Consider the following 12,931-nt stretch of genomic DNA (forward strand, 5'->3'; position numbering starts at 1 on the left):
GCAAAGCCTTCATGACTAAAACACCAAAAGCAACGGCAACAAAAGCCAAAATTGACAAATAGGATCGAATTAAATTAAAGAGCTTCTGCACAGCAAAAGAAAGTATCATCAGAGTGAACAGGCAACCTACAGAATGGGAAAAAAAATTTGCAATCTATCCATCTGACAAAGGGCTAATATCCAGAATCTACATGGAACTTAAACAAATTTACAAGAAAAAAACAAACAATTCCATCAAATATTGGGCAAAGGATATGAACAGACGCTTTTCAAAAGAAGACATTTATGTGGCCAACAAACATGAAAAAAATCTCATCATCACTGGTCATCAGAGAAATGCAAATCAAAACCACAATGAGATGCCATCTCATGCCAGTTAGAATGGTGATCATTTAAAAGTCAGGAAACAACAGATGCTGGAGAGGATGTGGTGAAATAGGAACGCTTTTACACTGTTGGTGGGAGTGTAAATTAGTTCAACCATTGTGGAAGACAGTGTGGCAATTCCTCAAGGATCTAGAACTAGAAATACCATTTGACCCAGCAATCCCATTACTGGGTAGATACCCAAAGGATTATAAATCATTCTACTATAAAGGCACATGCACACATATGTTTATTGCAGCACTATTCACAATAGCAAAGACTTGGAACCAACCCAAATGCCCACAATGTTAGACTGGATAAAGAAAATGTGGCACATATCCAATATGGAATACTATGCAGTCATAAAAAAGGTTGAGTTCATTTTCTTTGCAGGGACATGGATGAAGCTGGAAACCATCATCCTCAGCAAACCGAACACCACATGTTCTCACTCATAAGTGGGAGCTGAACAACAAGAACATATGGGCACAGGGAGGGAAACATCACACACCAGGGCCTGTTGGGGGGTGGGGGGCAAGGGGAGGGATAGCATTAGGAGAAATACCTAATGTAGATGACGGGTTGATGGGTGCAGCAAACCACCATGGCACATGTATACCTGTGTAGCAGACCTGCATGTTCTGCACATGTGTCCCAGAACTTAAAGTATAATAAAATAAATAAATAAATAAATATTATTTAAATAAAATAAAACTAAAAAAAAGAAAACAGTTTTTTACCACTAGAAATTTTAGCCATTAATTTCCAGAGATGATCATGTTTAGCAGTTTTTTATATATCTTTCCAGAAATTTTCTACCTATATACAAGTGTTTCTCTATTATAAATATCATAAGCACACACATACACATATAAGTTAGTCATTAAATAGTGGGAAACTTTTATATAATGCATTAGATAACATAAAACTATTTGTAATTTTTTGGATTAATTTATGTTATACTTTTACTATAATCTTAATATATAAACATGTACCACATTGGAATGTAATAAACTATATTCATTTAATTGATATATAAAATTCTTACTTTCATTTATTTGCAATGGTACTTCTTCAAGCATAGTTGAAATTGGTCAAGTTTGTGGTCACGTAAAAAGCAAGAGGAGAAGTAAATGTAATATGCACAGGTGTTACAAAACATGGCCCAAAGCGGTAAACCAGGAGTCAAATCCAATCCAGGTAGATCCAGAGCACGTGCTCTCTATATGCCACCTCGTTGCTGATGAGCACAGGACACAGGATCATGGAAGGAATATTTGTGATCTCAGGTCTAGGGAACTGTCAGTTACCAGACAATAACGCTCCATGAGGAAAAGGGCTATGTCAATCTTGCTCATTTCTAAGTCCGCAGTGCTGAATAGATGAGTGATGACAGACAGACCTACAAAATGCTGCCCTAAGTGAAATAAAACTATGAGGCAGGGGCTGGAATTCTCAGAACACACAGTACAATATTCAGTATCCAAATGTTGCCTGTGGTAAGCTATATTTTACTGACTTATTCATGTTCATAAACAAATATTTATAGAGCATTTTACATGTGCAAGGCACTACACTGGACACCAGGGACAAATGGATAAGTTAAACATGGTCCTTGATCTGAAGAGGTTCACAAAGTAGTAATGAAGAAAGATTTTTGAACAAATAATTATAATAAAAAGACAACCATTATTTATAGCAAAAATGTATTTAGTCTATAAGGAAATCATGTTCTGCTGCTATTTAACTAGAAGGAGAATACATTATAGAAAATTTTGCTTGAAAGAAATATTTTATTTAATGTTTATTTAATGAGGCAAGAAGTATAGATCATATGGCTTCCATCTCAAGGTCTTAGACAACTAGTCCATTTTTTGCCAATCTGTCTGTATCTTGGCCACGAGGAAAGGTAAAAGGGGAAGTGATAGTCTCATCCTGTCTTCTTGGGGAAGTTGCACACATCACTTCCATTCATAGCTCACTGCTTAAAGCTATTCATATGGCCATTTACAGCTACATGGAAGGCTAGGAAATACAGCCATCAGAAAGGTGGCCATGCGCCCTGCTAATCTCAGGAGTTCTGTTACCAAAAAAAGAAAGGGAGAATAAATATTGAGGGACAATGAGTAGTTCCTGCTACAACCCATTTCTGAAATAATTAAGCAGTTAACACGTATATTCAAAGCTATATACCTTTGAATTAAGACAGCAACCTCTCCCTCTCTATGAGGAAGAAACAAAATTATGTAATTCATCCTGACAATATTGTTCTGCATATATTAATGCTGGGGTTAGAAGTAACTGCAAACTTTTCAACATAGAAGGACCATTAAATCTGAGAGCTGTTGAAGAAATAGGAAGGGGGAGATTTATAGGGCTAAATTTTCAAAGGTAATAGAATAATAGTGGAGCCATCTTGATCCTCTTTCTCTGATGTCTTAAAGAAAAACAACCAGGATCCCTGCAGGCAGTTGTGTGGACTGTGCACTGAACAACTCTGGGAGATGTCATTTCCATCATAATCACCATAAAAATGATTTTCTAGCAGTAAAAGTTCTTGAGGGAGGGGTGCCCTTTCCCAAATTGTATGAAGGTATTCTTTGGACAAGCTGCAAGTAGTACTGCAGTCCCATGCCCTTTAACACTGCTGAAGGGCAGAAGGGGTGGGTTGTGGCACTGTTTCAGGCCCTTGATTATTCTTTTAAAAATATTCCCAAAAGTATTAAAGTGAGTGGGCTTTGATGTTCTCCAGGAACAAAAAACTCACAACATAAGCACATGAAAAGATGCTCAAGATCATTAGTCAGTAGGGAAATGCAAATCAAAACCACAGTGAGATACCACTTCACATCCACTAAGATGGCTGTAATCAGAATGATCAATAATAGTAAGTGTAGGCAAGGATATGGAGAAATTGGAAACCTCATAGATTACTGGTGGGAATGCAAAATGGTATATAGCTAAGAGAAATGAAAACATAAGTCCACATAAAAACTTGTACAGGAATGTTCATAGCAACATTATTCATAAACACCAAAAAGTGGAAACAACCCAAATGTCTATCAACCAATGAATGAATAAATAAAATGTGATGTAACCATACCAAAATTCATACAATGGAATATTATTCAGCCATAAAAGGAATGAAGTACTGATACATGCTGCAATGTGGCTGAACCTTGAAAATATTATGCTAAGTGAAACAAGCCAGTCACAAAACGCCACATATTATATGCTTTTATTTATGTGAAATGTCCAGAATGGGTGAATCTACACAAACAGAAAATAGAATAGTGATTGCCTAAGGATGGCAGACTGGGGATGGAGAGAAGAGGGTTGGAGGGAAATTGAGAGTGACTGCTACTGGGTACAGAGGCTTCTTTTTTGGGGTAATGAAAATGTTCTAAAATTGACTATAGTGACTAAAAGAGCCATAGAACTGTATATTTTAAATGGATGAATTGTATGGCATGTGAAATATATCTTAACAAGCATTTTTTTAAAAGGTAACAAAACAAATAAAATGAACTCAGAGCAAAGACAGGGAAAGTTTTTAACCCTCCCATTGAAGGCAGAGGGTTAGAAGAGGTAACACAATTGGTGTTTTCCCTAGGAGTTTCAGTCCTCCATTCTTCATCCTAGCAGGAACCACAGAATCTGGCCAAATAACTACCTAGATCTTCAAGCTGCCAACTATTAGAGGGGGAGAAATAGGCTTCCTAAAGCATAAATGACACACTAGTGGGTAAAAACACTTATAATTGTTATTTTTTACTAAATAAACTTACACGCAATGCCACATTTCATCTAAAACATATCCTCAACAGGGACGATGTATTAGTTTGTTTTCATGCTGCTGATAAAGACATACCCAAGACTGGGCAATTTATAAAAGAAAGAGGTTTAATTGTATCACAGTTGCACGTGTCTGGGGAGGCCTCAGAATCATGGCAGAAGGCAAGGAGGAGCAAGTCATGTCTTACATGGATGGCAGCAGGCAAAAAAAGGTTGTGCAGGGAAACTCTTGTATTTAAAACCATCAGATCTCTTATTCACTGTCACGAGAACAGCATGGGAAAGACCTGCGCCCATGATTCAATTATCTCAAACCAGGTCCCTCCCACAACATGTGGGAATTATAGGAACTACAAGATGAGATTTGTGTGGGGACACAGCCAAACCTTATCAGACAATATCACTCCCAAAGGGGTAAAATGTATTCTTAGGAGCAAAAAAAACAAAACAAAACAAAACAAAACAAAACAAAAAACCCTTTCCTCTTTTTATGTATGAAGCACAGATATGCACGTATTACATAAATAGATGTACAGTATTATCTATGGTTTTAAATTTTCATGAAAAGGGTAATTTGGGGAAACATGCCCAAAAAGGAAGCTTGAGGTCCATGGTTTTCACATACACTAGACAAACACTCTTCCTGCTGTGTTAAACTATTATAAGATGAAAATATTTGGCTCTTTCATTCTTCTGGAAATGCTCATGGTAACCAAAGTTCCCAGATTTTCGGTATAAAATATGGGCTCTTGCTATCTAACCATGTATCACTTATGAAATCATCTACTATCTTAGACTGAGAATTTATGTCTTGAAACAAAAGGCACAACCTACTACAAAACTAAAAAAGAGACAAAAAATATGTACCTATGTATTAGCCCTTTTCAAATCTTTCCTCTCATGCCCACGCCTACCCCTAAAATACAATCTTTGGCATAAAAAGGAGAAAAGGTGATTTTCCCCTTTCACTTTATCTACGACTCTCATCCCTCCCCTCCCCTCCACTGCTCCACCATCACCCTTCCCCACTCCAGACATGAGAAGACTTGCAGGCCAGGCCCTGTCTGAAGTTATTATGTAGATGATATTGTCATCTGAACCCACAGCCTCTCCTTTTTTCTCTTCTCTATCCCTTTCTCCATAATATGTATCTTTTCAGTGCCTTCCCCTATCTTAATTGGTCTAGTCTACCTCATTTCAAAACTGAAAAGGATCTAATTTTCATTTTCAACTGAACATGACACAGAGTGCACACTCACAGACAAATGCCTTTTCCATTAACTGTGGAATAAAAAGCTTTGACTCCTAGTAAATAAACTTCAGCCATCAAAGAGAAGATGGAGGTGATATCTGCTTCAGTTCTTAGAGGTGGAGGAAAGGAGATGAGACAGATTAGAAAGTGGGGCCATCAGCCTCTGTCTTCTGACTCCCTGTGTCCTTGGAACCCTTCTTTCCCTCCTGCCAGGAATTTACTCCCAGCTGCAGCTGCATCCATTGTCTTCGGTTTGCCTGGGAATTACTGGGTATAGCAGTGGCATGGTCTTGTTGCTGCTGTGGCCCTGGGACAAGGAGCACACACTGCCTGTATGGAGGGCCACAGAATTCACTTACTACCTGCCCTCCCCACCTAGCTCAAAACTGTTCCAACACTCCCTGGTGCTGGGAACCCGGGGCCACCTTCCCTGTTCTCACTCCTAATTTCAGGACCACCAATTCTGGTCTGGGTCTCACTCTTCCCTCACTATCAGTTGAGGTGTTGTCAGCCAGCTATCTACTTGTGCCCCAGGCAAGCAATTCACCTGAACAGGGGCATACTTGTCTGGGTCCTGGAGCCTTAGTAAGTGCAATCAACATAATTACCCACAACCCAAAGCCTCTTTTTCTAGGCGTCAGAAATATCTTCTTTAGTTTCAGTTTTCAATTAAGTGCTTTCATGTTTTTAGTCAAATATTGGCCCTTGTAATCTATTCATTGCTTTTCCCAGTGGAATTCAGATGCTCTTTACAAAGTTGATTTTCTTTTCTTTTCTTTTCTTTCTTTGTTTTTTTTTTTTTTTTTTTTTTTGAGACGGAGTCTTGCTCTGTCACCCAGGCTGGAGTGCAGTGGCACAATCTCAGCTCACTGCAACCTCTGCCTCCTGGGTTCAAGTGATTCTCCAGCCTCAGCCTCCTGAGTAGCTGGAACAAGAGGCGTGCACCACCATGCCCGGCTAATTTTTGTATTTTTAGTAGAAACAGGGTTTCACCATGTTGGCCAGGCTTGTCTCGAACTCCTGACCTCAAGTGATCTGCCTGCCTCAGCCTCAAAAAGTGCTGGGCTTGAGCATGTGGGCTTGAGCAGTGGGCATGAGCCACTGCGCCTGGCCCCAAAGTTAATTTTCAACGGTAAACATTTAAATGAAAATAAGAAACTTCTTTTGAGAGATGTCTATTCCTGTCCTTTGCCCACTTTTTCATGGAATTATTTTTTTGTTTGTTTTGCAATTGAGTTGTTTGAGTTCCTTGTATATTCTGGATATTAGTCACTTGATGGATAAATAATTTGCAAATATTTTCTCCCATTCAACAGGTTGTCTCTTCACTCTGTTGATTGTTTCTTTTGCTGTGCAGAAGCTTTTTGGTTTAATACAGTCCCATTTGTCTATTTTTCTTTTGAATAAATATATGAAAAACTGCTCAGCCTCACTAATCATCAGGAAAATGTACATCAAAACCAAAATGAGATCTTATCTTATCCCAGTTAGAATGGCTATTATTAAAAAGACAAAAAATAACAGATACTGGCAAGGATTTAGAGAAAAGGGAACTTTTACACACTGGTTTTGGGGATGTAAACTAGTATAGCCATTATGGAAAACAGTATGGAGATTTCTCAAAAGACTAAAAATAGGACTACCATACAATTCAGCAATCCTACTTCTGGGTATATATCCAAAGGAAGGGAAAGCAGTATATCAAAGGGATGCCTGCATCCCCATGTTTATTGCAGCACTATTCACAATAACTAAGACATGGAGTCAAGCTAAGTGTCCATTAGTGATAAATAAAGAAAATGTGGCATATATACACAATGGAATACTATTTGGCCATAAAAAAAGAATAAAATCCTGTCATTTGCAGCAACATGTTTGGAACTGGAGGACAGTATGTTAAAGGAAACAAATCAGACACAGAAACACAAATATTGCATCTTCTCACTCATATGCTGGAGCTAAAAAGTTGATCTCATGGAGGTAGAGAGAGTAGAATGATGGTTATCAGATGCTGGGAAGGGTGTTTGAGGGGAAGTGAAGAGAGGTTGTTTAACAGGTACAAACATACAGTTAGATAAAAGTGTTACCGGTGCAGGGGTGTCCAGGTTCTTGGCATCTTTAACAAAGAATTGGACAAAATGCACAAACAAAGGAAGGAAAGAATGAAGCAACAAAAGCAGAGATTTTTTGAAAATGAAAGTACACTCCACAGTGTGGGAACAGGCCAGAGCACAGGGGTTCAAGAGCCCTGTTACAGAATTTTTGAGCGGTTAAATTCCCTCTAGAGATTTACATTGGTTACTTGGTGCACACCCTATGTAAATGAAGAGGATGAAGTAAAGTTACAAAGTCATTTACTGGGCATATGCCCTATGGAGAGGACATCCCCTGTCATAGCTGAAGTGTGAATTGGCCTTATGTTCCCTGCCTCCAGAGCCTATTTTCCTCCCTCAGAGGGAATAAGTTCTAATATTCGAAAGCAGAGTAGGGTGACTACCTACAGTCGACAACCATAAATTTTATATTTCAAAATAGCTAGAAGAGAGGACTGGAAATGCTCCCAACACATAGACATGATCAATGCTGGAGGTGACGGATACTCTAAATGCCCTGACTTGATTACTATGCATGCTACGCATGTAACAAAATATCACATGTACCCCATTAATTTGTACAAATATTATGTGTCAATAAAAATATTTTAAAATAGGAAACTACCTTTTTATATGTAATAATCTGAACTCTTACTGCAGAGCTATCTTATCCAACAGCTCTGAAGTATAAGGAAAGCAAAAAGGAATTTAGAAACTTTCCCCCCAAACAGCTTTTTAAGTTTGATTTTACTCAGTTATATCCTTTAAATGAAATTATCCCAGGGCGTAAAATATTAAGTAAAATATAGAGGCAATTTGGAGCAAGAAAATAGGACCAACTTGCACGTGGTACTATGCAATTTTTTATGACCCACTTTCAGACATTTTTAATGTGACATGAAATAAATTCTGCTCTCACAACTTCCCATCCTCCCTCCAATCTTGAAGCATAGCTGGTGGGCTTCCAGAAAGAGAGCTCTGTTCTAATCAATTGGCTGAGCATCTCATCTTCTAATCCACGGCCTCCACACTTTCATCACAGCATAACCAGCTTCCCTCCCTAGTCTCTCCTCTCAAGTGATCTTCTACATGGCAAGTATGTATTGTGTGCCTAGTATGTGCCAAGCTCCACCAATATACACCATTGCTCTTCATTTAACCCATATGAGAATGTTTCCTATCTTTAAACTCTTATTTTGTTTTTTTAAAGAATAAAATCCACAATGACCGGTAATTCTTGTTTGTTATAGTTTGACAGTGATGATGATCCTCTCTACACTGGAATCTTTGGGTAGGTCTCCACATCACCCAGATGTCTGCCCCTAACCCTGACCACCTAGGATTCTGGCTGGTGGTTGTCATACCTGGGCCTGAATGTAGACTCTAGAGGTGATGAAACCTACAGGTGAGGAGGAAGCATGTGACATGGAAACGATCGATGTCACATTAGGGTCCCCAGCACTGTTTGTAAAAAGACTTCAGTGGTCTAGCCTGAGAATCTACATTGCCCTTACAAAGAGTCTATGGAACAGGATGTTCCAAACAAAAATAATTTCCTCCTGTCTTCTTTTTTTTAAGCCATATATCATTCGTAAGTTCAGAACTGTTTTTATATAAATACGGGTACATTTGGTGAAATAGTCCCATTACTTTGTAGCCATCCTTTCACAAAAAAGCTCACTTAATTCATTTGTACATCTAGGTCATTTTCAACCTGAATAACTCGATATCAATTTTTCTCAAACAGTTTTGACAAAATGACATAGTTTTTTATGAGTTCCCTTTTATCCTTTTTAAAAATGTAACTAGATATAGATTTATCATTGGTATAAAACATACAAATCTAACAATAGCCATTATTTGTTTTGGGTTATACATCATAACTGTACATAAAATTTCTAACATATGGCTGGGTGCAGTGGCTCACACCTGTAATCCCAGCGCTTTGGGAGGCCGAGGCAGGTGGATTGCTTGAGCTCAGGAGTTCAAGACCAACCTGGGCAACATGGCAAAACCCTGTCTCTACCAAAAATACAAAAAATTAGCCGGGTGTGGTGGGTGCATGCCTGTGGTCCCAGCTACTTGGGAGGCTGTGGTGGGAAGATCACTGGAGCCTGAGAGGCAGGGGTTGCAGTGAGCCGTGATCATGCCACTGCACTGCAGCCTGGGCGACAGAGTGAGATCCCCTTTCAAGAGAAAGAAAACTAAGTTTTTTGTGTTTTTTTTTTTTGCTGCACGCAGTAATATTCTTCTCTCTTTATACTAAGGATGCTCTTAGTCTAGCTGGAAATCACTGGTTTCACCAAGAGGTTTATCCACATGATGAGAACGGGGGCTTCCAACTTGCTATCAGCAGAATGGGAGGGAAAGTGCCTCTGACCAAGGAGACCTCGGTGATCCATACATGCCTCCAGTTACACAACAGACAGATCAGTCTGAAATGATGACAGGAGGCAAAGCATGGCACCTGTTACAAACTGCAACCATTTCTAACTTTGTATTGCTGAAAAGGTCTGAGCTGCCTGAAGCAGTGTTTGTGTTTTCTTCTGCTGTAAAAAAATGTACTCACCCTAAGGAGTAGAGGCGGCACTGCTTGTTGCGGATTTGATGAGCTAAATTGAACCTGTCGTCAAGACACACTGACCAGGGCTTGTGTGTAGGACTAGAGTCAGTAGCCAGGCTGTCTGTATTCATGTGATTGCATGCAATCTGTAAAGATTGGAAATCAATGTGAATAATTTGAAATGTTGGATGATAAATAGCAGGTAGGGACTTATTGCTTCCCCATCCTTGAAAACCGTAATAGGAAAGTTATAATCTCCTCCACTGCTAACAACTCCCCTCCCCAGGGAACCACAAGACTGCTATAAAGTGTTTGGAGAAATTTCAATTACTAGATAATAAGTAATCTCATGGAGACTATATGCAGGTTTGGAGAGAAGTTAAGAGCTGCTGTAGCCATGTGCACAGGGTGTGCAGGAGAGAACAAATCAGGAGCAAAAGGTGGGAGGAGCGGCTGTGTCAGGAAGCCTTTGTAGAGGGGTGCTAGTCCTGGAGGATGAACCGAGAGGCTTGGACCAAGAAGGGCAGTCCAGACACAGAGAACAGTGCTCACCATGCATAGATGTCTTCGTTACTCACAGAGTCCCTACTATAAGATGTGAGGCACAATGATAGGCATAGATCTCAGAAGCATACTCCCAAGATTAGCTATCCCTTATTTCAGGCAGATAAGGTGGGGCCACTAAGGTCCAGAAGGATGGCAGGTGTTATCCAAGGTAAACAGCTGATCATGGGTCAAGTGAAAGTAATAGGCAGTCCCTGCTGATAAGGCAGTGTTCCTTGTGATACACTGCTCTAATGCGCTTCCTCCTGGGGGAGAAGGGCAACAGCCCCAGGCAGGAGGCTCTTCCTGAGCTAACAGAAGCACTTTTCTTAACTCATCCATCAAAATTAGATAAGAAAACCAAAGGAATATATGAGTAAGTCAAGCAAAAGCAAGTCTCTAATTTCAACTGCACACAAAGCAAATATACTTCATAAGGGATTCTGACTTGTATTTGAGGCTAGTACATTTCGCACAGCTGAGGCTGTTGAAACCAAAGAAAATAAGGAAAATAAGTTCTGTGGCCAAGATATTTACCTTACTGAGCAACAGTATTTTCCCCCAATCCCTTAGAACTCTCATAGTCATCATGATGCTCCATGAATGCAGCAGCTTTTGCTGTCACAGCATAGACCACAGACCGCTCCAGATGCAAAGAACGTTTTGAGATTCATTGCTTTCATCCATTGGAAAACATTAACAGCAAGTAATTTTCTTCCTAAGAAGATATTCTAGGGCCAGGCATGGTGGCTTATGCCTATAATCCCAACACTTTGGGAGGCCGAGGCAGGAGGATCGCTTGAGCCCAGGAGCTCGAGACCAGTCTGGGCAACATGGCAAAACTTCATCTCTACAAAAAATATAAACATTAGCTGGGCATGGTGGCATGTGCCTGTAGTCCCAGCTATTCAGGGGGGTTGATTAATTGAGCCTGGAAGGTTGAGGCTGCAGTGAGCCATGATTGTGCCTCTACACTCCAGCCTGGGCAACAGAGCAAGACCAGACCCTGTCTCAAAAAAATAAAAGAAAGAAAGAAAAGAAAAGAAAAAAAAGATATTCTAGGCTTGCCTAATCCTTTAACTGATTTTCCAAAATTTTAATCTAAGAAGAGCATATTACGTGGAGCCTATTCGACTAACACAGCATCTGCATTACTCTTGCTATCCCCTCCGGCTGGCCTGGCAAAATCATCCTGCACTATTTATCAGTGAATGTTAAGTCTTCTGGTAGGATTTGGACATCTCAGAGGAAAGCTGAAAAAGTGAAACCCCTATATATCTTTTCCTGGAATCCACTATTTTTCTACTTCTCTATCTCCAACAACTGTTTAAAGGACAAAATAATCAGAGAAAATGGAATTGAATCTTTTCTGAAGCAACAGCTACAGAATACATTTATTAACTGGGTGCGTCAACATGTTAATTTGATAATTCATCTCCTACTATTCTCCCACAGATAAATGGAAATTATGTCTCTGCCTGCCCACCTCCTATTCTCCACCCACTCACCTAAGGGAAGAGAAGTTGCTAATCTAGTTAGTCAGAACTCAGTGTGTTCATTGGACCCTGTTCTGCTAGTGGACAGATTACTGTGTCTTAAACATGGGCACCTTCCTGAGCTCCACCTCCAGTGGGAAACTAGTTAGTCCAGGGCAGCTGTGTGTGCCCCCAAAGCATGCCTGGACCTTATAAGCCAGAGCCATCTGCTTGGGGGAAGTCTCCTGGGATATTTTTATTAAAATGGTATGATGATCCCCATTTGCTATTGTTCTTTGTGTACGTATCTCCCTAAACACCTCCATAATGACAGATGAAGATGTGATGTTTGCAGGACCTTGCTCATCATTCCCTCCTAATGCCATCCAAACCTAGCTCTAACCTTTCCCACAGTGTTTCTCAACATACGGTCCGCCTACATCAGAATCACCTGGGAGGTACTTAAAATGCAGATTCCTGGGCCTCCCTCCAGATCTACAAACTCAGAATCTTTGAGGCTGATACCTGAGAACATGCATTTTAATAAGCTCCCCCAGGTGATTTTTATGCAGATGGCCTTTTGAGTTTACTGGAGGCCTTTTGTAAAGCCCCAGTGAAAGGTTCCAGCCTAGTCACATCTCTGCCTCAGAAAATTAAAAGAGGCTATACTTGGGCCAGAGCTTTAAACTGAAAACATCAGCCCCTCTGACTCCCAACCCTAACAATGGGTTGAAGGGGTTAGCACTGACAGTTAGCCAGAGGCCTCCAAAAGTCAGGTAGGCATTGAAGATCCGCAGTGAGGGCTTTCAGGTCCAGCAGTTCCTCCTTTGCTAAAGTCAGGAAC

The 12,931-nt window shown here is 40.0% G+C and overlaps 1 protein-coding gene across 3 annotated transcripts in view; it reads right to left on the reverse strand.

The window, feature by feature from the left end:
• Positions 1–12,931, reverse strand: part of METTL24 (methyltransferase like 24) — a 114,410-nt gene that overhangs the window by 61,327 nt on the left and 40,152 nt on the right. The window contains exon 3 of one of the 3 annotated variants that reach the window (NM_001123364.3): positions 10,076–10,215. The exons of the other annotated variants lie outside the window; for them this stretch is intronic. Within the exon in view, the coding sequence (NP_001116836.1) occupies positions 10,076–10,215 (140 nt within the window). The remainder of the gene's footprint in view (positions 1–10,075; positions 10,216–12,931) is intronic. 3 annotated transcript variants of the gene reach the window in all.

The sequence above is a fragment of the Homo sapiens genome, chromosome 6 (genome assembly GCF_000001405.40).
Source record: "Homo sapiens chromosome 6, GRCh38.p14 Primary Assembly".
NCBI classification, from domain to species: Eukaryota; Metazoa; Chordata; class Mammalia; order Primates; family Hominidae; genus Homo; species Homo sapiens.